The sequence below is a fragment of the Homo sapiens genome, chromosome 12 (genome assembly GCF_000001405.40).
Source record: "Homo sapiens chromosome 12, GRCh38.p14 Primary Assembly".
In the NCBI taxonomy this organism is placed as follows: Eukaryota; Metazoa; Chordata; class Mammalia; order Primates; family Hominidae; genus Homo; species Homo sapiens.
Genome location: NC_000012.12, coordinates 15,202,075 through 15,227,201, shown reverse-complemented (window position 1 = coordinate 15,227,201; position 25,127 = coordinate 15,202,075). Strand labels below are relative to the sequence as shown.

The following is a 25,127-nucleotide window of genomic DNA, read 5'->3' as shown; positions in this document are numbered from 1 at the left end:
TCCATAAATGTGAGAAATATATTTCTGTTGTTTAAGTTACCCATTCCGGGGTACTTTGTCATGGCAGCCTGAGCAGACTAATTCAGTAGGTTTGACATTGTAGATGATGGTTATACAGGCTCTGGATCCTGTTAACTTTTTCAAGAGTGTTGTATTTTGTTTTGGCAGGCTGTTAATTTGCTGGTGGATTAGATTGCTCCTGTAAAGGTCTCATTTTAGTCTCTGTTGTAGGGGGTTGTCTTTCAGATCCACCCTTAGTCCCAGGTTACAGCCCTTCTGCCTAAGGCATTAATGGTCCTCACTCCTACTTCACAAAGATTTCTGAACGCTGACTGGGCTGAAACTCGGATGTCTTCTCAGCACTCAGAGAACTCTGTAATTCACATCTTGGGATTCAGGAGCTTTCAGACTTTAGGCAGCTGTTCTTTTTTTTTTCAGTCCTTTTTTTTTTTATTACACTTTAAGTTTTAGGGTACATGTGCACATTGTGCAGGTTAGTTACATATGTATACATGTGCCATGCTGGTGCGCTGCACCCACTAACTCGTCATCTAGCATTAGGTATATCTCCCAATGCTATCCCTCCCCCCTCCCCCCACCCCACCACAGTCCCCAGAGTGTGATATTCCCCTTCCTGTGTCCATGTGATCTCATTGTTCAATTCCCACCTATGAGTGGGAATATGCGGTGTTTGGTTTTTCGTTCTTGCGATAGTTCACTGAGAATGATGATTTCCAATTCCATCCATGTCCCTACAAAGGACATGAACTCATCATTTTTTATGGCTGCATAGTATTCCATGGTGTATATGTGCCACATTTTCTTAATCCAGTCTATCATTGTCGGACATTTGGGTTGGTTCCAAGTCTTTGCTATTGTGAATAATGCCACAATGAACATACGTGTGCATGTGTCTTTATAGCAGCAAGATTTATAGTCCTTTGGGTATATACCCAGTAATGGGATGGCTGGGTCAAATGGTATTTCTAGTTCTAGATCCCTGAGGAATCGCCACACTGACTTCCACAATGGTTGAACTAGTTTACTGTCCAACCAACAGTGTAAAAGTGTTCCTATTTCTCCACATCCTCTCCAGCACCTGTTGTTTCCTGACTTTTTAATGATTGCCATTCTAAGTGGTGTGAGATGGTATCTCATTGTGGTTTTGTGTGAGATGTTATCTCATTGTGGTTTTGATTTGCATTTCTCTGATGGCCAGTGATGATGTTTACCAGATGTCTCAGAGACTCACCACGCAATGTGCAGCCCTGAAATTAGCCAAGATCCTAGGGACATTTCCATGCAAATATCTGAGCTTCTGTCTCCGTGGCTGCTGCCCTTTCTGATAGCCTTCTGAACCCAGTTGCTTTAGTAGCCCTGAACCCTAATCTCTCACTGATGTTTGGGCTTCACTTTCATGGATATGGGCCCTTAAAATGCCCCCAACAAGAAAATTTGTGTGCCTGTGAGGCTAAACTCCAGTACATCCCCTCTGTCAGATGTGCAGCCCTGCCTTGGTTGTTTGCCAATGCTTCCAAACAGCTATTTTGTATATTTTGGTTAGCCTTTATAGTTGTTCCCAGTAAACAGGAAAGTTCAATCTCAGCTAAAATCAGTCTTGCCTTTGCCTAATATTTAACTAAATAAATGGTAACAGCAATTAAATACTCATCCCAAAGTCAAAAGATAATCATTAGTAGCAACAAAATAAGGAAATGAGTATAATTTCTTGCCATGTAACTTCAAAATGAAATAAAGAAAATAAACGATCATGATATAGAAAGTCCTGGCTTTCCAGAAGCAGTACTGATGAGTGATCAAATCGTAAGTATTATTTCTCACCAGTTAAGAATGTCTGCAAATTTGGAGTGAAATGAACTGAGCAACTACACTTACCCTTTTCTGATGGGAGGAGAGGGCAGAGTGAGTAGTCATAGTAGAAATGGCTTGGGAGAGAGAGTAGAGGGCTCCAAGAATGAATGAAGAGTGCAATCTCAGGCTTAAGGGAATCTTTCTGAAACAGTATGTGATCCTGATGGCCTGCATTAAATCCTGAGACAGAGTCTTTAGTAAAACCTGAGAACAAAAGCAGAGCATGTAACCTCTCTCAGAGGCTGCACAGAGACTCAGAAGCCCTCACCTTCTCATCTCGGGATGGTAGACAGAATGCAATGCTCACCTTCAAACCATTGCTTTATAGAAAAAACAAACAGGCCTCAGACAAGGTAGGAATGAAGTCAAGCACAATTAACTGAATTTGTATCATAGCAAATATGAGTCTTGATCTAAAAAAGAAACCAATAATAAATATAAAAACACACTACACAGGAAAAAAAAGGAGGAGAAGGTCATTGTAAGCAAAAGTAGGCTAATAACAAATTTAAAAACAACAAGAAAAGGAAGAAACAGGTATTCTCAATTATACAATACAGCACCTGCAAGACCTTCTTGAAAACATTGCTTAATGAAGATATCAAGGGATGAATCAAAATAATCAATAATAGAAAAAACATGATAAAAGAATCAATGAAAGAAATTTATTCTATTTAAATATAGAACTAAGTTTAAACCACTTTGGGAATGAGAGTTATAAGTGGAAAGTGAATGTTACAAATCTTGACAATGAACAAACGAAACCTGTGTAAAAATATAGAAGGAGGGAAGAAAAAAAGAGACATAATAAAAGAGCTATTTTCTTCTTTTTAAATAGCAAACAGTCAGTTGATATTGACTAAAACAAATATATGTTTAAGCATAATGAATTCAGATCTGGTTTTATGTAATAATTCAAACTGTAAAGGAATCTTTAGGGTGAATATCTCATGAAGTAAGTGACTATCTCATGAAGTGAGTAAATATCTAAAGTTTGGTCAGCCTTTAATGTTCACTTTAATTTTGTTATCTTCTGCTTCATTAAGTGTACTTTTAAATTAAAAATAGCATCTACAGGATGATGACACTTAGCATATCTGTGCCATTTCACATACCTGTCCATCAGGATGTCTGTTTTCTACAATATCTGGAATGATGATGGTCCCCTTATGTTAACAATGGTTATTATTTCTGGATAGTGTGATTCTGGGGATGATTTTCTACATCTTTGTATTTTTCTACTGTTTGAATTATTTATAACAAACATGATTAACAGCTACACAGACATACACACACACAATTCCAGTTTCTAACATGCTTTGTGGTTATATCAACACTTCGTCTACTTGTTTTGTGTTAGAGGTTTTAGCTGAAGCCTAAGGCCAGGCTAAGAGACTTGAATGTGACAAGGACTTCCCCTTTCCCCAGGAGAATTCTTGCCCAGCAAACATATGTCATGGAACCGTAAGTACAAAGTGTCCTCTGCCCTTCTTACTGATCCATGAGGCAGGCAGCACAAGAGAGCGTGCCTCTTTTTGCTGCTTTAGAGACAAAGGAAGCAGCCCGCAGAATATAGGATACATACGGAAGATGTAACACAGTGGGAGTCAGGCTCCAAGATAGCTACTTCATCTATCTTAGAGCAGCACATCAAGAACTGCAGATGTGTATGCAAATGCCTCCCTAGTTGAGGGAGGAATGCTGTTGTTATATGGGCTAAGCAGGAAAATGGAGAGAATCAGGTTCCATAGGCAAGTTCCAAAAGAACTACTACAAATGGGACCTGGCTTGGGCCCTCTTCGAAAACTTACTATTATTATTTTTTTCTTGAGACAGAGTCTCTTTTTGTCACCTAGGCTGGAGTGCAATGGCACGATCTTGGCTTGTTACAACCACCGCCTCTGGGGTTCAAGTGATTCTCTTGCCTCAGCCTCTGGAGTAGCTGGGATTACAGGCTCCTTCCACAACGCCTGGCTAATTTTTATATTTTTAGTAGAGATGGGGTTTCACCACGTTGGCCAGGCTGGTCTCGAACTTCTGACCTCAGGTGATCCGCCCATCTCAGCCTCCCAAAGTGTTGGGATTACAGATGCGTGCCACCACGCCTGGCTAATTTTTTGTATTTTTAGTAGAGACGCTGTCTCTACCCATGTTGCCCAGGCTGGTCAATAACTCTTATTAAATAAGAGTGGCAAAGTGGGAATTCCAACTCAAGTCTCTGTAAATAGTATATTTACAGATATAGGGTCACAGATTTTTTTTTTTTTATTAAATCTTGCCCTGAGTATAAGATTTAATGGGGGAAACAAGGTAACATGTGAAACCTGAACACCTTAATGCCACACGATTCCATGTAATTGGAATTCTGTAAGATTCTATATAATGAATCTGGGTAATTATTATCCCATCCCAGACTTCAAAGATCTTCTGCATGCTAAGACACCAAAGTCTCTCTCTTTTCCAGGCCTCTTTCTTAAATGTCGCAGCCCCATACATTCAATTTCTTACTGGATGGTCTATCCTAAATCCAGTATGTAAAAAAGCTCAAACATATCCTATCACAACTTCTTCTTTATCTTAATTCATTCAATTCAGTAGGTATTCTTTAACTACCTACTATATGCCAGGCTGTAGGTATACACACTGTATGGATGATGCTGGGAATACAGAAGTCACACATGGTACATTCCTGGCTTCTGGGAGCTCACAGATTAATGGAGAGGACTAAGGGGCAGAAATGAGTACAACACAAACACAATGATAAGATCACAGGGTCCTGTGAGATACAGAGGGAGGCATCTAATCCAGATGTATGTGGTGTGGAGGGAGGGGTACATTAGTGATCAGGAAACTCATAAACCATACAATGTTTGAGCTTTCTCAAAGAACCAGCAGGGCAGCTCCTGCTCAGCTAGGCAACTCCTCTTTTTGCCATAGATCTAGCTGTTCCATTCAGCCATTCACTCGTGGCTGCAGTGACCTTCCAGGTCAGTCTGGACTCTGGAAATTGCCTCCATGGTTACCTCCCTTCCCATTGATGACATTCTACAGATCGTTCAGTTTGCCCTAGGCCCCTGTCTGTTCTATATAACACTGGTTTTCTGGAAGCCGTTTGGTATCTTGGTAAGAATACCCAGATTTATAAGGGAAAAACAATAACATAAGTGCCTCCTGCTTCTTTGCTCAGATGTTTCAGTTTTTGGGAGATCATTTAGCCTCTCTGAAGCTCACCTCCTCATCTGTGAAAGGCTAGTAATTATAATACTAGTTCTTACATGAAGAGAGGGTGTAAAAATCAAATCAGATGAGGGATATGAAAGCAGGTCCAGCACAGCTCGCATATTAATTGTCTTTGTTAGGGTCTGAGCATAATGGAGTATGACTCCAATGCAAATCCTATAAATGCTGATCCTGTAAGGAGGACGAGAAGCTTTTGGAACTTTCTCAAATATATGAATAGAATTTCAATTGAATTCCTTGTTTGTTTTTCCTAGCATCTCTCAGTTCCCAATCCAGTCTGGATTTCATTCCAGCCATTTACTAGCCTTGCGTTACCTTCTCCTTCAGTTTCCTCTTGGGTATCATGGAGATAATTAAAGATACTTCAAAGAGATATTGCGAGGATCATTTGAAATAAGGAATAGAAAACACCACGTAGTGATGCTTTCTTAGGCAAGGTTTTGACCGAGGAAAGCCGCCCTTCGGTGGGAGCCTGGAGGCTTGGAAATAACCAGTGAAAAAGGGAAGCCCGTCTTGGGTGCAGCACGTTAAAGACCCAAGCTCGCAAGCCTGGGAGGCAGCGCGGCGGGAGGAGCCTGCCCCTGCCCCCAGTAGGGGGCGCCGAAGCGCCGCACTGCAGCATCCTGGCCGCTGAGCGCAGCGGCCTTGGCCGGGCTCAGCTCGCGTCCTGCCGCAGTCCCTCCGCCGCTAGTCGGAGCGAGCGCGAGTGAGGAGACCCCCGCCGGGCCACTGGCACTTGCTTCTGCGGCGAGTCCCACCCACGACCGCAGCCCAGCAACTCGCAAACGCAACCTGAAGCCTGGGCTGCGCAGTGTGGGAGGGCTTCGCGATCTTGGGGGACCCATTCCGAACTTGCAGAGGACCGTAGCTCTCCTGGCCTGGAGAGTGTGAACAGGTGAGTGTCACGCACGTGTCCAGGCAGCTCTTTCGGGACGACTTCCTGCAGACCCATTCCGAGCCCTGAGCGCGCTCGGCCTCTGAGTCGGTCCTCTTGGTCACCGGGTTCTCCTCCCAGGGCGGCTTTGGGGTTCGCTGCGAGGGAGATGTGAACACCAGCAGCCTATCTTGACAGGGCTCTCCTAGCTGAGAGGGAAAATGCCCTTTTGACTTAAGGCTGCATTTTCTCCCTAGCCTGAAAGCAAGTGACTTGCAGTCCACAATGGATTTGTTTATTCTTGCAAGATACCTGTTGAGTTCAGAGCAACATTAAATAGCCAAGGGGCTTATACAATTATCCTGGTTTGCTGTGGGTACTGCGTAGTGATAAGAAGAGGAAGAATTCCTAGTAATGAGACCAGGAAAACTTGATTTCAGAACCAGAGAAGGGGAGGCCAAAAAAGAAGAGAATCTCATTTCCAGGCCTAGACTAGGGTCTTTGCTTCCCTAAATAGCTACACTTGATTTTGATGAGCGCATGCAAACAGAAGTTCCAAGCATGATTACCTTATAAAGACGCTTGCTTGCCCCACCCCCAAGAGGAAGTAGAAAGCATGAACCTTGATAAATATAGCCTTGAGAATGATTTATTAGGAATGAAAACTTTCTTTAAATAAGTAAGTAAATAAGGTTACAGTTATCTAAATATCATAGGTCTAACAGAGTGTAAGCTCTTCGAAGGGAACTACTTTTATTTGTATGTGCATAGCGTGAAAGTGTGGAATAAATCAATGAATGCATCACTAATAATACAGGATTTTAGCTAGCGTTTTTCCTTTTTCCTTTAATTTATGTTTAGGGAAAAAAAAACCTACACCTTCAAACTAAATAGGTATGATTTTACCTTTAGAGTGATAGCAGCTGAGATGTTTTTGTCCTAATAAGCACCATCCACATAAAAAGTGAATGGCAAATTTCAGCCCTACTCAGAATATTTCAGCAGAACATTAGGACAAATGGATTTTCTTAGATCCACGTATGGAAGCTCTCAGATTATGAATTATTTGGAACATCAGAAACTTGGCAACAGTTTACTTATTACAACAATTTACATATTTATTTTTGTTTTCTATCTTGTCAAATGTAACTTTTCACATTTTCATGTGAGAAATAAAATGTTGAAGAACTCCTGTCAGTTTTGTGTCTTCCTTTAAGTGATTTTTCTAAACATAAAATTAGGTTGACAATAACCAGCTGTATCTTTATTAGGTTATAAATGGAAAAAATAGCCCACACAATTTCTCTTTCTTATGTGAAATTCCTATGCCTCTGGGGCCATTTGGGAGTTACTAAAAAATGTGACTTGTCATTTTTTTAAAATCACATTTGATGGCTACTTTCATGAAACATTAATCAGACAGATAATTACTTGCATTTTATATCCATGTATATGAACAGTTTTGCATGAAACAAAATTATTGTTTATACTAGCTGCAGACACTTGCGTGTTCAATGTTTCAAAGAAATACTTGCCAGCACCTCTTCTCATTTATAATTTAAATAGTTAATATATCTCCACATATTATGTTTCTGTGATGAAGCCCTGAACCTTAAAAACATAGGGCCTTTTCTTAATGAATGCATCTAAAGTGACAAATAAGGAAATCTTTTTATCTTTAGCCAAAAATATGGGACTGGACAAATTGCAGATGTTTAAGCTTCTGGTTTTTGCTAATAATGATTACTTAGACACTTTGTCATTATTGAGGATGAAGTAAACAATAGCTAATGTTAATGTTGATTTTTCCTTCCTTCAGAGGAAGCTCTGGCACTTTGAAAATCAGCAAATACAAAACCTTATTAGGTACAGGATGATAGCTTAAATACCTAAGGAAGAAAACAATTACATGATAATGTCTTTGTAGAAATACTTTTTCAGGCGGATTTTCACTTTTTAATTTCTCTCTCAAGAAGCTCTTTGTAAAAATTTATAGATGGAAAAATCTGGCAGGAACATTTAACACATTTAGATAACATATTTGTGTTTAAAACATCTTTACTGCCTTGAAAATGGAATGAATTATGCAGACTGGTGTGATTAAGATTAACACGGGTAAAAGTGCTGTGCTGTATTTAGGTTTAAGCCATTGATTGCAAATGTTCGGAATGAGGGGGTCTGCAGTCCGTGTAAAAGATGTGAGGCTTAATGTGATTGGCTGTGCTACAGTATAACCATGGTGGGCAGATTAACGATAGTGAAAATCTCAGGGAATTTACACCGGGTCAGTTTGTCAGGTCATATCTCAAAGTGGAATGCAGTGGACACCATGCTTTTAGAGTGATTAAGATGTTGAGGAGGCAATGCACATGATGAAAAAGGGAGTGAAGGTCAAAAAAACATAAACGAGAGTGTACATTCCGGGAAGAACAAGTGGACAGGCTGGGCCTCATGTTCCTAGAAAAAAGAAGCCTAGGATGGAGCAAAGGGTCCTACTAGATGCTAGGATCCTTGAACGGTTCTGAGTGAAAGAAAAAGTTGACTTGTTTTGAGTTATTTCATAGAGAGAAATGAGGACAAATGAGTAGAAGCCGCAGGGAGACAGTTTAGAGCTCAATATTAGAAAGATAGTTCCTCCTAATTGGAGAAATGAAGCAGCTTTCAGAAGTAATGAGCCCACCTTTCATACCTGGAAGTGGTAAGTCAGGCATGGAATATGGAATGATTGTTATGTCCTAAGGAAAGATTCTTGCTAGAAGAATGGCTAGAAGATTTCTTCAGATGACCCCCACTCCAGCCCCCACCACCACCAAAGCTCTTTCCAAATTTACGTTTCCATGATCCTAAGAACCTAGATGTCACTCCTAAAGCACCAAACTAAATAAGATGTGCTTACTTTGTACATAATGTTATTTCCCAAGCTTTAAGACAGCACTATAAACAAATTTACTTGAAGTCATCATAGAAAAGGAATAACTTGGAGCATGGCATTTATCGTTTTTGTACCAGGGCATTGTGTCCAGCAAAATATAGAAATGTAATCTATGTATTATATATTGATTCCTAGAACATGTGTATCTGTATCTGTCACAGGAATTCATCATGTGATCAAGTGTGAATTGAGAAAAAATTTAACTTTGAGATGCAAAATTGAATTGTGTTGCATTGGAGTTGACTAATATGAATGTATGTTATTCAACCCAAAGAGACATGAAGAGGCCCAAAAGTGACTCTCTCCATTGCCCCACTGCATGTGTTTGTACACTGAATGCTTACAGATAGATGGTAAATGTGTGTATTCACTTTTACTTTCAGTTACTATCAAGAATCAATACCTTCATAAGAAAATTTCTTGAGGAAGTACTTTAGAAATGCTATTGTGTGTGATAATGCACGTTTTAGTACCAACCAGATCCAAATCCAAGTCCTGAATCTACCATTTATTAGTTAAATCATTTACAGTAAGTTACCATAGACTTCTCACAGGATAGTGGTAAAGATCAAACCAGAAAATGTTGAAAAAGTGAATGGTGGCTGGCATATAGTAGATGCTCAATAAATATTAATTCATTTTCCAGTCACTTATGAATTCCCAAATTTCTTTTGTTTAAGGATTGTGGACTCTTCCAAGATTCACAATGATATGGTGAATCCAAAGACTGGAACCAAAAAGATTTACTCAGTGCTTTAGTTTTAACAACAGTAAATTGTCTACCAACACCCATCATGGCTAAAAGTGCGGAGGTCAAACTGGCAATATTTGGGAGAGCAGGCGTGGGCAAGTCAGGTAAGATTTTCGTTGTGGTTGTTATAGTGTGTGTGTGTGGGTGAGTGTGTTTCTTTATTACTGTTTCTTGGGATTGGGCAGGTGAGTAGTTGGTATTCCTCCTATTTTCATTTCTTACTCTTTTAGATAAAGTCTCTTCATCTAGAACTTTTATTTTGCGTAATCGACTGTTACGTATCCTTTTGCTTATTTATGCTGAAGTAGCTTTGCTGATAACACACAAGATAAAGGATATATCAGAGGTCTTGGCATTCTGATTTTTAACAACCTCCAAAGAAATCAGATGATGGAAATTAAAAAATATATATTTGTTCTTTTCTCTATGTATGAGATCTTGAGGGACTGATTTTACATCTCATTCATTTTGATATTCTCAGCAAACAGTCCAGTGTCAAGCATGTGTTAGGTGCTTTAAAAATGCTTAAGTGAATCTAGCTTTATCAGAAACAGAATTGCATTATTGCCAAACACTCAAAAATCCTGAGAGGATTCCTGAAACTTTAGGAGTGCATGCTCTCAAGCAAGATAGCTATTGCGAATGCCTCTGCAGTGAATTTAAATTAGCAAGTTCTGGCTAACATCAGTAATTCAGAGACTTTGTTCACTATCTGAGAAATCGCTAGCAGACCTTTAAGATTAAGGGTGAAATGGTGGAAGTGAAAAATGTACCTGCTATCTAATTTGAAAAATACATCTTCGATCTTATAATTAAAGAATTCCAAAGTCAACGTTGCTGAAACATTAGGGCAGCATGACCTTTCAGGGTAACCTCTTGCCTTAGTCTCTTACTGGAGGAAGGAACCATAATTAACTGTACACAGAGCTTTTGGTTCTCAGGAAAGGACTCAAACAGATATCTGGTAGGTGCATGTTTGTAGAGGGAAACCTGTTTGGAAATAAACTGTATAATCCAATACATTAGGTAATCCACAAAATCTTAGACAAATACACATAATTGCTTTTTAATTCTGTGACCAACCTTTCTTTTCTAACCTGCTGTCTGGTTTAATTTCAGCAGTAATCTTCCCTCTTCTAAGTCTTTGTCTCTCGTTTTTCTTTTAATTTTCTCAAGAGTACTCTTTCCTGCTACCACCATTTTCTTCTGTTTGGTTTGCTCTTGCCTCTGGCAGAAACCACACAAGGAAAATAGATAGTTGGCAAGGCTAAGAAACTGCCAGCCTTCACAAGATTGAAGATAGTTAAACTCCTCCCTGTTAATCTCCTCAGTGTTTCCTAATGGCGTGAGAACCTAATTTCTGTAGCTGGTAGAAGGATCTGGAGAATGAGGAAATGATTCCTGTGAGTGGAGGATGGAGGGAAGGCAGTGTGGGAGAAGATGTGCACTGCCAGCAAGAGCTTGTCTAACTCCTTGTGAGTGCAGGGTCTAGGCTTGAGGCTGACCATTTATTCCTTCATTCCAGACTTCCAAAGGCAATAAGGGAAGGAGATTTTTTAAAACCTTGTATCATTTGTTAAAATAACCTACATGCGATTTAAGAAGTCAAACATAAAAATGAAAACTCAGCTGAGAGAACCACGTAGCTGTACGTGCGTCCATCCGTTTCCCATCTTCATGATCTCGGAGCAAGCTGGGTGTCTCCTCCTGTCAAGGCTCATGCATCAGCCTGAGCTGGGATGCCTGTTTTCGTTGCCTTTCCCCACATTGTTTCAATTATTCCTCTCATTCTCACCTGACCATTTTTCCTCACGCATGTCTTCGTCCACTGCTTCATCTTTTTCTTTTCTTCAAGCTTATTGAATATGGGTTCTTCCCTTACTGTCTTATCTTTTTTTAACTCTCCCATTCATTGCTTAAAACATAGCCATCTTCTGTTACAACCATGCTACTGAAACTGCTTTTGCTAAGGTCACTACCAAACAATGACCAACACATCTAATGATCATTTTCCAGTTCTGATCTTCTTAGACTTCTTTCTATCATCACACAGCTGCTTATTCTTTCCTGAAATTCCTTCCTTCCCAGGCTCCCATGACATCACACTCTTTGGCTTTGCTGCTCTCTCTCCGTAGCTCCTAACTAGCTGTTTTCATGGGTTTGCTCTTCGTCTGCGCACTTCTCAAAGTTGAAGCTTCCAGGGTTCTATATATCATCCTCTTGCGTCCTTACTCCATACACTGCCCCTAGAAGTGCTACTCACACCCAAAGCTGAAGATAACACCTGCACAGAGAGATCAAATTCTGCTGACCTGAATTTTATTTTATGTAAAATGCACAGGTTGAAATTGCTCACTAAGTTTCTTTCCAACTCTAACATTCAAATCTTCTTTGGACTGTTTTCTCTATTTGCCTTGAATACATTCCACCATTTGTGTTTGTTTTCATTTAGGTGAAAATGACAATGACAGACTACATATCTTTAACAATTGCCTTTTTGTCTGTCATCTATAAACAGACAGTGTTTTCCTATGTCAACATTAAATTATTTTTCTGAGACCTGTAACTGCACCTCACATTTTAAAAGTAGCACTCGTTTGATGCATGGGTGAAAATTGTGAAACCTTTTTCCATAGTTCAGTGAAAACGACCACAAACTACTTCATATCTACCAATTTTATTTTAAGACACTGGGTCTCCCTCTGTCGCTCAGGCTGGAGTGCAGTGGCATGATCATAGCTCACTGCAGCCACCAACTCCTGGGCTCAAGAGATCCTCCCACCTTGATCTCCCCAGTAACTAGGACTACGAGTGTGTCCTACCACACCTGGCTCATATGCAACAATTTTGAAAATAGACTGCAACAATATTGAATTTATGTTGATTCTGATTCTTTGTGAATATGGCTATTTGATGTCTCTGCCTCATCATTGTATCACACATTTATCTTTCTACTGCAGAGACTTTATCAGTCTTATAGGTAACTTTTGCTTGTTTAAGTCTGCAAGAAATTATACCTGCTGGAATGTAATTCGGTAGCTCCTCACTGAATTGTTTCAGAGGCTTAAGTCTTACCTGTCCCCTCTACTTTCCCCACACTTAATACCAGTAGGAATTGGGGGTAAATAAGACCATATTGCCCATTTGCTAACGAGGAGTCGTATAGCTTGGAGTTAAAGAGTGTGAGCTTTTGTTTGCCCTGTGAACTTGGCAACTTTGGCAAGTTACTTAACCAGTCGATTTCTTCAACTATGAAGAACATATAATAGCATCTCAGTTGTTACTAGGATTGAATGAGTTGTTACATGCAAGTGTTCCTGGCACATTGCAAATGCTCAAAATTAGCTTATATTATTATAATTTGTTAAGGTATGCTTTTTTAATTTGTAAGTTCCACAGTGAAAACATACAATTAAAGATATACTTGCATTCAAGTGAGTATTTTGGTTTTCACTAAGTCAGACAGCTTATAAGGTAAAAACTCCACACACGCGCACACACACACACACACACACACACACACACACACACACACATACTTTCTCTGTTTTTCTCTTTCTTGAACCTAAAATCTGGTTAATGTCAATTATAGCTTGACCACAGATGATCATAACAATACTTCGTATGGCTTATATTTAATCTTGTAAAAAGCCAGAAATATATTAGTGTCACCAATAAATTAACACTTTTAAATTTGAAAGTGCTTCTGGTATGTGGCAGATGGCTTCCTAAGCCCAGGTGATAGATAGGCCGTCTATATTTAAAACAGAATTTAACATTTACCAGAACTTTTTCATTGACAGTTTGACCACAGACATGTCAGCAAAGGCAAAAATTTAATAATGTGCTGATTACTAAGGAGCACTGATAAAACATGTGAGGGATGTGTGTATGTGCACGCACATGTGTGTAATATATAAGTGTTTACATGGTCTGCTGTATTGGGGGAATTCTTGTTCCTTCTAAGTTTATCTTGCAGTTCTGTCTTCAAGTGAGCTTGCTGGCATAGGGATAGTACAGTGAACTCTGTGGGGACGCTGCAAAGTGTAGGGTCATGATTTCCCAGCCCTTTCTATCTTTTCTTGCCCCAGCCGGGTAAACATTTACTTTCATTGGCTAAGGGTGAAGCACTAATAATGTGGCATGCAAGGCACAGATTTCCTTACTTGTGTGCATCAGCCTATATTTTGACAAGCTCCAAGTAATTAAAGTGATAAGACTTGCCAATAAGCCTAGAATGCACACATTTTTATTTAAATGCTTCTTGTAGTCGTATTATTCAGATTTGTAGTAAGTGTGGGAGGGGGCTGATAGAGAAACAACTGAAATTGTAAATTTAGCTTCACAGTTGACATTCTCATTTTAGAACTGAAATATTGTGTGCCACAGCTAACTATATTGCTTGAAAGGGCTAGTCTTAAAGTTAATTGAGTAATGCTATCCTGTAATTCAAAAGCCAATTGGTGCACTCATCCATGAAGGCTTAAGTTCATAGACTCAGATTGCCAAGCTATAAACTGGATGCCAAACACAAACAAGCTTGTGATATTTTTTTCCGTGGCACAAAGAGAAGTGATTTTTCATCCTATTTTTTGTTCTTTTTCTTGTCTGCTTTTTTCTCTGTCAATTATAAAGAAGTTTTTAAAAGCTTTTTTCATCTTATTTTTAAGTGGGACAGGGACTATTCTAATTTTAAATGTGACTTTTAAGATAACCGTCAAAACCTGCTTTAAAATATATGTATACTTCAGGCTGAGATATATTTATGAGATCTCACATATATATAATAAAAAAACAGAAACCTCAGTCGCATCTTGGGTAGGTCAGTTTTCTTATGCTATAGAACTACATTTTGTGTTTTAGAACTTCTTCTCTATTTAAGTAGCTATATACCAATTTTTCCCCTTCCTCAGACTAAGTGGCATAGTAGGATGCTTTCTGAATATTGTTTTCAAAGTACTTTTAATAGGAGAAAGAAAAATCTAGGGGGTTTGGGATGTGTAAGCATCTCATAATCATGTAAGTATTTTGCATGTTTTATAGTTATATAAAATATATGCAAAACTTACTATTAATCCCTAATATATCTATGTTTGCTTAAACATAAAAACAATCTGCCCTAAAACTCAGTGACTAAAATGGACTTTTCAGGAAGATATAAAAAGTTTATTCGTGGCCGGGCGCGGTGGCTCACGCCTGTAATCCCAGCACTTTGGGAGGCCGAGGCGGGTGGATCATGAGGTCAGGAGATCGAGACCATCCTGGCTAACAAGGTGAAACCCCGTCTCTACTAAAAATACAAAAAATTAGCCGGGCGCGGTGGCGGGCGCCTGTAGTCCCAGCTACTCGGGAGGCTGAGGCAGGAGAATGGCGTGAACCCGGGAAGCGGAGCTTGCAGTGAGCCGAGATTCCGCCACTGCAGTCCGCAGTCCGGCCTGGGCGACAGAGCGAGACTCCGTCTCAAAAAAAAAAAAAAAAAAAAAAAAAAAAGTTTATTCGTGGCTCTAATATCACATAGGTTTCAGGTCCACTTGAGGACCACAGATATAAGAAGTAGCCTCGGCTGTGCATACCACGTGAATGTGAGCACTGACAACAACCCTGTATCTCAGTTTCTACCTCCTTGAGGACCCAACTAGCCATTAAACTTTTGGAGCATTATTTTCTAAGATTCTATATATTTTTCACCATCACTCAAGGATTTTGTTTTATTTTTAGTTGACAGAGTAACTATAAATGTTTATAGAGTATAATTTGATGTTTTGATACATATATGCATTACGGAATGATCAAACCAGGTGAATTAGCATGTCCATCCCCTCAAGTGTCATTTCTTTGTAGTTAGAATATTTAAAATCCTCTCTGTTAGCAATTTTGAAGTGCACAATACATTATTGTGAACTATAGTCACCATTCTGTGCAATAGATCACCAGAACATCTTCCTCCTGTGTAACTGAAACTTTGTACCCTATGACCAATGCCTTGGTTTTGCCCACTGATACCCCTCCCAGTGACGTTAACCACTGTTCCACTCTCTGTGTCTATGAGTTTGACTTTTTTAGATTCCACATATCAGTGAGATCATATGGTATTTGTCTCTCTGTGCCAGACTTATTTCACTTAGCATCATTTCCTCTATGTTCATCCATGTGGTTAGAAATTATAGAATTTTCTGCCTTTTTAAGGCCGAATAGCATTCCATAGTGTGTGTGTGTGTGTGTGTGTGTGTGTGTGTGTGTGTGTGTGTATAAAATGACATTCTAAAATCCATTTATCCATTGATGGGCATTAAGTTGTTTTCATGTCTTGGCTATTGTGAAAAATTCTGCAGTGAACATGGGAGTGTGGACATAAGATTATATAATCTTTGTGGTAAATTTGCTAAAAACATTAATCAAGGTAAGAAGAGGGGCAGATTATGCTTCCCTCTGCCCATGTGGATGCAGAGCTTGCATGGCCCCTTAACACATGTGTGTATGTAAAGAAGCTTTTCCTAGTTGGTTTATGAAATTGAAGGACTACCAGAAATCCTATTGATTTCTTGTGTAGTTGGTGGTTAGAGGAATAATTGTTTTTTAAATAATTGGACCAAAGGGAGGGAGGTGGTTTTGAGACAAATTTGGGTGTAGTTAGAAAAAAGGAGCCTTTTTGTTGTCCTAAAATATAGTGCTCTGGTTACCTGTGGCTTTACAGGGTTTGTATCTTCCTTTACCTGCAAAGACAGAAAAGCAAAAGGAGGCAAACAGCCTAGATGAGTCCATTGTAATTTGTTTTTTCTACCCCAAGACCAATTAAACCATGTTTTCAAATTGCAGGTATATGCCTACGTATATGTATAAAAGGCAGACCTCTGTGCAATTTTTAAGTCATCACTGACCTTTCTTGTATGCCCAGGAAGAAAAAAGAGAAATGGTGCTTAAGAGGGCATAGGAAAATAAAAGTAAACAAAAATCTAGAAAAAAAAATGAAAGTGAATTGTTACTGGTAGGTGGCTAAGTACTTTGCAGGTTGACAATGATCATTTCTTAGTTAAGGCTTTTCTCTTAAGAAAAATATGATTGGGGGGGAAACAATACTGGAAAACAAAACAAAACAAAATTAAGAATTATTTCTCAAAGCCAAAAGGACATATCTCTGTTCTTGCTTTTTTATTGGAATATATTATTAAAATTCAATTGTCCTTTATTTTAAACTAATGGCTAATTTATTCATTGCAATGTTTCTGTAGTTAAATACCAGCTATCTATTAATTCCATTTTGATCTTGACTTGTTTTCTTGGCAACTTGAAAAGACTAACTTTAAGTGGAGGGAAGAACATTTTAAATCATCCTTGTAATTCCCCTTTTTATTCCTGGTATTTCTCCAACTTATGGGTTTGGGGAAATCAGCCAGATTTTCAAGGTGGTACTGGCCTTGAAGCCAAAATTCCAGTGCAAATGCATGTCTGTTGCTACAGCTGCTTTTGAAAATTGATGTGGTTTCAGAAAAACACATAATTTCTTCCATCCCATGAAAAATGAGTTGCTATATTGTAAAGGCAGGGCAGTCTGAAATAGATAATTTCAGCATGAATAAACAAATATGTAAAGCTTATCCATACATATGAGAGATACATGTGAGAGAGAGATCCTTAGCGAGATCACCCAGCTTGTTGGTGCTAGAGCCAAGTCTAGCATTCCAGTCTATGACTCAATGCAAGGCTTTTGCAACTTTGCTATCAAAGGTTTTCATTTTGTATCATTCAGTTATTTTCCACATCTTCTCAGATATTTTATATTAGAAAATGAAATGACCATTAGAATTTTATCATACAAACTTTGTAAAACCTGATGGATTTTGTTTTTATAAGAAATTCACAGTAACCAATAAATAACCAATGCATGGCAAAGCCCTCTGGGAGTACCAGGTGTGTTATCAACCAAAATAGCCAAAATTCTCAGCAACTTTTATATAAAAGAGCGTTCTCCTGTAATGCAGTATTCTATTTCTTATAGCCTCGGATCAAGTGTTAAAAAAAAAAACTGATGAATCATCTTTTGCTAAAGAATATGTTTCTCATTGTTATATAAATAGCCTACATTACACTGTGTCCTGTCCTTATGATCTAATAATGAAGACGCACACAATTGACTGTAGGATTAGAACCTTATTTTAATTTCATCCTTATCTCCTTTTATTCATCTGCCCAATGATGGATTCAATTGTTCTTTTTTCAATTTTTACAGAATGCAGGTAGGACAAAATGAAATTATGGCACTGAAGGTACTTTGAAAAATTACAAGTCTGATACAAATGTCGGCTTAATAGTAAGGTTCTGTTATTATTGATCTTCATCCATTTTTTCCCCTTATGTTCCTTAACATTTGTCTTTGGAGAAGCAGCATGGTGAATTCTCTGGCTGTCCGCTACTGAAGGCCAGATGAATACACTCAGTCCAGCAGTTGGCTGTTTGTGTTCCTCCATGGACTGCCTAGCAGGGAGGAATGTGACAGCATATCCGGAGGTTGTAGTTTCAATGCCTTAGGAATTTTTGGTTTCAAATATGTCACATGAAGAGACATTGAGTTGATTTTTTTTTTTTTAAGTATCAGTATGTAAAGTGGGCAGTCAAAAAGGAGAGGAGGGTTTAGGACAATAACTTAGACTTACGCCTTATCAGAGAAGGACACATGGTGTGTTTATATAATGTTTTAATAATCAAATCTTATCGTTATAAAAATTAAAGCTTTAAAACCTTCTAATATTTTTGCCAGATTTCTCAATTAACATGTATGTACATGTATGTATATATGTGTGTATTTATATATTTCCCTACAATCTTAAAATATATTTTTATTCATTCATTCAGTTGTTCATTCAACAAGTATCTGTTGAGCACCAATTTTGAGTTCTAGAAGAGCTGATCTGGTATCCCTGCATATCGTACAGGATCCATGTACCTTCCAAAAAGGCAAAGCAGTAGCTGTTTCTGTTCATTATACCTCTAGAGCCTCACACAATATTTGACACATACTAGGACTTAATAAATAAATGAAAAATTTGAATTAGACTATGTTGTCTAGTTTGCCACACGTGCTTTAAAATTATATCAAGGGTCATATATTTTAAATAGTCTCCTTATTATGACCAAAGTGGTTTCCTTGCCTGAACTTGACTGTCTCCAGTGACAGGAATGCAACATGACCGGAAGTAGATCATTCTTGCACATCCACCTTTGCACAACTGTATTAGTCAGGGTTCCCCAGGGAAATACAACCAATAGAATACACACACACACACATTCATTCATTCATTCAAAGCAATTGTCTCTTTTGATTGTGGCAGCTGGCAAGACTGAAATCTGTAAGGTTGGCAGGGTGGAAACTCAGGCAGGAGATAATGTTGCAATCTTAAGGCAGGATTTCTTCTGCTCTAGGAAACCTCAGTTTTTTCACTTAAGGCCGTCCAAGAATTGGATGAGGCCCATCCATATTATCAGGGGTAGTCTCCTTTACTACCACTAGTCTACTGATATTAACTACATCGACAAAACCCTTACATTAGTGTTTGATTGAATCAATGGATACTATAGCCCAGCCAGATTCACACATTAAATTATCCCAACAGTTCTTCCTGTTTGTTGCTTTTCCTTCTTTGGAACCAAAGGTTTTTCTGTAGCTTCTAGGCATTGACTTTAACTTTATCCCCTCAGTGTCACGTAGAGCATGATAAATCCCTCTCCTTATGACAGCCCTTCACAAAATTGAACATAGCCAGCATGCCTTGACTCATGCCTGAGTCTCTTCTTCTATAGTCTAGCTACAAAAAGTCTCTTGGTTTACCCCTGTGAGGTTTTCAAAGCATCATCCTCTCTCTTTCGCTCTACAATGCACTCCATGAAATGTGGACCTGGAATCAAAGAGACATTTCAGATGTGGTGTACCCAGAACAGATCAGAGCACAACTGTGATTTTGCTTCTAGATCCTTTGCTTCTGCTGAGGCATCCTGAGGTCACTGTTGGTTTCAGGATAAGAGACAACATAATGTTGGCTCATGGGGAGTTTATTGCAAATGGAGATGGTTGTTTTTGTTTGTTTGTTTGTTTGTTTGTTTTTAACGTATGCCATTGCTGAGCCAAACCTTCCCAAATCTGTACCTGAGCAATGTGTGTGTGTTTAACCCAGGTATAGATGTTCATTTTCATCCTCTTAAGCATTATTTTATTAGATTTAATCAATTCTCCTGGTGCATCGGGAGCCTTTTGGATCCAGCATGTCTCTTATCCCTCCCCACTTTCTATCATCTGGAAATGTTTGTTTTGGAACTAATGTTTTGGAACTAATGGACCCTTGTGGCACTTGAATCACAGAATTTTCCACTCAATGAGCTATTATTTAGTTCTCGAAACGATGAGAAATTCTAGTGAAATTATGTCACTTTTTGGGTAACTTACAACTGGTTAACAAAAGCATAGGTCTTTGGTTCTTGGTGCAGGCACGTTAACACTGTATCACATTACTTCTGTGGTCAGTAAATAACTTCTGTTTAGGAGATTTGCCATAACAAAGGTGAGCTGGGGAGAAGCTTCACAGTTACAATCTCCTGCTTAATATTGTATTTTATGTCTCTTGTTTCTCTCTCCCATGCTTTTCTTAGGAATCAAGACACATTGCTACAGAAAGTGCCTAACAGTGATCAACCATTATTGGCCCAAATATCTATCCTATGCAGAAACTCATTTCCCAGGCATTTATTCCAAGATATGAATGAATACTTTTGTACTAAAATGGCTGAATTTATGTGATTTAGCACTGCTGCTGCAAACCAGAGCTGAGTTTGGAAATGTGTTTTTTTATTGGGTTATAGCAGTTGATATCAAACTTTACCATGCCTCGGGATCACCAGCAGAGCTTGTTAAAATGTATGTTTCAGGACCCCACCTCCACAGGTTCTGACTCAGTAGGTCTGCACCGAAGCCAGAGAATTTGTATTTCTAACAAGTTCTTCAGTGATGCTGATGCTGCTAGTCTAGGACCCACATTCCGGGAATCACTGTGTTAAGTTTGCTGAGTACTCAATTTCCATTTGAGGTATGTGTTTTCAGCTTCAGAAAAGCATATAGCTTTTTGTGAGCTGCACATTCAGCGCATTGAGTGCCATGCCCTGTTGGGTGTACTGACACTATAGTAATAAAACAAGGAGCTCTCTGCCTTTATGGAGTTAACATTTTAGTGAGAAGAGACAAAGTGAGTAAAAAAATATTCTGTGGGCCAGAGCACATGTGAAGCCTTCCTGTGGTTCCTTAAAACTAGAACTTTTTCTTTACATCATAGAAGGGTGAATTTTGTTTAAAAAATAAAATGTAAGCCTCAACAATTGTGACAGGATGAACTTTGATTTTAAGATGATACTTTGTGCTATATGATAATAGTGGGAAGGGATTGAGCTAGATTGCATGGTAAGTGTTTGGGGATTAAATATATAGTCTATGACCCTGTTACAAATTTTCTGCTGATAGAATCTCAGTAGCTGTATAGGAGTTGAACCCATAACCTTGAGTTATTGACACCTCGCTCCATATAGTTAAGTCTTAGATAAAACCAAATTAAAGTCAGATCGTTTTTCTTTCCCCAGTATTTGGAAAAATGATATTAAATTGCTCTTTGACAGTGGTATTTATAAAACTTATGCAATGGTAGATAGAAAGAACAGCAGTGTTGAGAAAAGTTCCTAAGTTTCCACTGTTTTAGGTACAAAGATAACGTCTTTTCCTCAATGATGCATTTCCTGTTTTTTAAATCTTTTAAAAAGTTCTTTCTTGTTTTGTGCCATTGGACAGTAATTTAAGAGGTGAAGTCAAAAAGAAAAAGTACAAATAAAAAATTGTGACTTTGTCTGAAAAGTAATTGAGTTATTTTTGCACTAAGAACCCCATAAATTACAACTGAATCTAACAACTGAGCCAGCTTCCTAGTCATTTGGCAACACATGTTGAGTTTGACGGTTTAAAGGAAGACTCAGCCATACATGGTAGTATGAATAACAGTGATCTGTTCCAAAGTCTGGGACTTTCTTTTCCATTCAAATATTTCGTATCTTGAATCTACTTCTTAGCGGTTCTCCAAAAGAGGTAAAATCAGGAACACAGTACATGTGAATCTTCAGGTCCCAAAATTTAACCCACGATTTCTTAGGTCTCCCACTTATCGGTTTACAAATATTTGTGAAAATCCTACTGTGTTCCTAATTCTTCCACCCTTTCTTCAGTCCTCCCTCTATAAGCCCAATAAAATGCTAATATTTGTGGGAGAAGTCCAAAGAACTATGTAAATTTTTTCTTGTCCTCAGGGACCATAGTGTTTTCCTGAGCGTGTATAACTTACAATTCAAAATCAGCCAGTGATAGTATGTATTCAGCAGAATAAATGATTTTTACAACTTTTTATATTGAAATAATATTAGATAATTATACAGAGTTGCAAAAATAATAGAGAGTTCCTGTGTACCCTACACCTAATTCCCCTCAATGATGATATCTTACATGACCACAATGCATTAGCAAAACAAGGAAATTGATGTAGATACACAATTAAGCTACAGATCCTAGAATTATTGTTTTTTAACTCAATTCAGGCCCAAGGCCTGTTTGAAAATATAACTAGGGAAGGACAGAGAAGGAGAGACTTTAAGAAATGACAGAGCTCATTATGAGTTTTTAAAAAGTGAAATTTGGTAAGCTATTTATTATCAGAAATGTACATCTTGTGTTATGTGCAATTTAGCTATTTAAATTGTATATAACAAAGTTTTAGCCATTTTTTTCAGGCCATAAATGCTATAGGAGTCAATGGGAAGAACAGAAATCAGTGAGAAATATTTGGGGAGGCCTTTAGGGAGGCAGTAAGTTTGAAATACTGTAAATTCAGTGGGATTTTTATGGTAAGAAGTGGAAAAGCTTTTCCTCTTATTTATTGTATTTCAAAATTGTATTATCTTCATAGCAATTCACATGTTATTAATGTTGGAATTAGAAGGAGAAAAAGACCAGTGTCATGAAGCTTTTCCTCTATCTTTTTTCTAGGGGTTTTACACTTCCAAGTTTTACATTTAAGTCTTTAATCCATTTTAGTTGATTTTTGTGTATGGTATAAGATAGAGGTCCAGTTTCATTATTTTGCACACGAATACTGAATATTCAGTTTTCTCAACATCATTTGTTGCAGAGACTATCCTTTTTATAATGTGTATTCTTAGTGCCTTTGTTGAAGATCAGTTGACCATATGTGTGGGTTTATTTCTGGGCTCTCTATTCTGTTCTGTTGGTCTATGTGCCTGTTTTTATGCCAATATGATACTGTTTTGATTACTATAGCATTGTAATATAGTTTGAAATCAGGAAATGTGATGCCTCCAAGTTTGTTCTTACTTGAAATTGTGTTGGCTATTCTGGGTCTTTTATTGTTCCATATAAACTTTAGAATTACGTTTTCTATTTCTGTAAGAAATAGAAACTTGTATTTTGGTGGGAATAGCAGTGAATATGTAGGTTTCTTTGTGTAGGATGAACATTTTAACATTATAAGTCTTCCAATTCATTAACACAAAATGTCTTTCTATTTATTTGTAGATTCCTTAATGTCTTTCATCAATGTATTATAGTTCTCAATTTATAAGTCTTCAACTCCTTGGTTAAGTTTTTAAGTTTTCCCCAAGTTTTTTATTCTTTTTGATACTGTTGTAAATAGGATTGTTTCTTAATTTATTTTTGAATAATTTGTTTAGTATATGTGCAATCGTTTTTTGTTTGTTGATTTTGTAAATAGTATTCTACAGCTTTACTGAATTCATTTATTAGTTCTAAGAGTGTTTTTGGTGGAGTCTTTAGGGTTTGCTACTTATAAGATCATGTCATTTGCAGAGGTAATTTTACTTCTTTCTACTTATTTGGATGCCTTTTATTCCTTTTTCTTGATTAGTTACTCTGGTTAGGACTTCCAGTACTGTGTTGAATAGAAGTCATAAGCATGGTCATCATTGTCTTGTTCCTAATCTTAGAAAAATAGCTTTGATTTTCAACATTGAGTATAATGTTAGCTTTGGATTTGCCATATGGAGTATTACACTGAGGCACATTCCTTCTATACCTAGTTTGTTGAGTGTTTAATGATTTCATGAATTTGCCACCAGAAGCACAGATGACAAAGCAAAAATAGACAAGTGGGACTACATCAAACTCAAAAGCTTCTTCAGCAAAGAAAACAAACAAGCAGTGAAAAGGAAACCCAAAAATGGGGGAGAATATTTGCAAACCATATGTTTGATAAAGGGTTAATTTTAAAAATAGATAAGGCACTCCTACAGCTCAGCAAAAACAAAAACAAAAGTCTAAATCTAAAAATTTAAAACTGAGAATAGTGTTTAAATTGACATTTCTCCAAAGAAGACATAGATATGGCCAGCAGGTATTTGAAAAGGTGCTCAACATCACTAGTCATCAGGGCAATGCAAATCAAAACTGCAATGAGATATCACCTCATAACTGTTAAAATGGCTGTTATAAAAACAGCAACAGCAACAGCAAAAAGACAAGAAGTGTTGATGAGGATATGGAGAAATTAGAATCCTTGTATACTGTTGATGGGAATATAAAATGGTGCAACCACTATGGAAAACAGTATGGATGTTCTTCAGAAATTTAAAATTAGAACTACCATATGATCCAGCAATTCCACTCCTGGATATATGCCCAAAAGAAATGAAATCAGGGTCTCAAAGAGAAATCTATACTTCAGTGTGCATTGGAGCATTATTCAGAATAGCCAAGCTATGGGAATGATTCACATGTCCCTACTGACCTACAAATGAATAAAGAAAATGTGGAGTGGATATATGTAATGAAACATTATTCATCCTTAAAATGAATAAAATCCTACCATTTGCAACAACATGGATGGGCCTGGAAAACATTATGCTAAGTGAAATAAGTCAGCCACAGAAGGACAAATACTTCATGATTCCTCTTATATAAGGCAAATACAATAGTCAAACTTACAGAATTAGAAAATAGAATGGTGATTGGCAAGCATGGCAGTAAGGTGAAAGAGGGAGTTGTTATTCAATGTGCATAAAGTTACAGTTATTCTTGATGAGTAAGTTCTGGATATCTGCTTTACAACAAAGTGCCTTTAATTAACAATATGGTGTTGTGCGCTTAAAAATTTGTTAAGAGGTTAGATCTCATATCACGTGTTCTTAACATACACACAGACATATAAAATAGACACAAAAGGCAAAGGAACACAAGGAAACTTTTGAAGGTGATGGATACTTTTATTACCCTTAATTGTGGTGATGGTATCATGGATATATGTATATGTCCAAACACATCAAATTGTAAACATTAAATATATACAGTTTTTTCACCTATTAATTATATTCCAATGAAACTGTAAAAAAGAATGTTTAAAAGGACAACA

General features: G+C 37.8%; 2 protein-coding genes across 5 annotated transcripts in view; one reads left to right on the top strand and one right to left on the bottom strand.

Moving 5' to 3' along the window:
- Window positions 1–5,223: 5,223 nt before the first annotated feature.
- Window positions 5,224–6,534, bottom strand: LOC124902886 (uncharacterized). Its single transcript, XM_047429948.1, has one exon. The coding sequence runs from the start codon at window positions 5,955–5,957 to the stop codon at window positions 5,640–5,642; it is 318 nt and encodes a 105-aa protein (XP_047285904.1). The 5' UTR covers window positions 5,958–6,534; the 3' UTR covers window positions 5,224–5,639.
- The window catches only part of RERG (RAS like estrogen regulated growth inhibitor), a 113,635-nt gene continuing 94,292 nt past the window's right edge, over window positions 5,785–25,127 (top strand). For 3 of the 4 annotated variants that reach the window (NM_001190726.2, NM_032918.3, XM_047429798.1), the window contains exons 1-2: window positions 5,785–6,007; window positions 9,599–9,773. In NM_001190726.2, the coding sequence (NP_001177655.1) occupies window positions 9,713–9,773 (61 nt within the window). In that variant the 5' untranslated portion in view covers window positions 5,785–6,007; window positions 9,599–9,712. Of the gene's footprint in view, window positions 6,008–9,598; window positions 9,774–25,127 lie in introns of those variants that run through there. The other variant, XM_047429797.1, reaches the window with a different exon arrangement.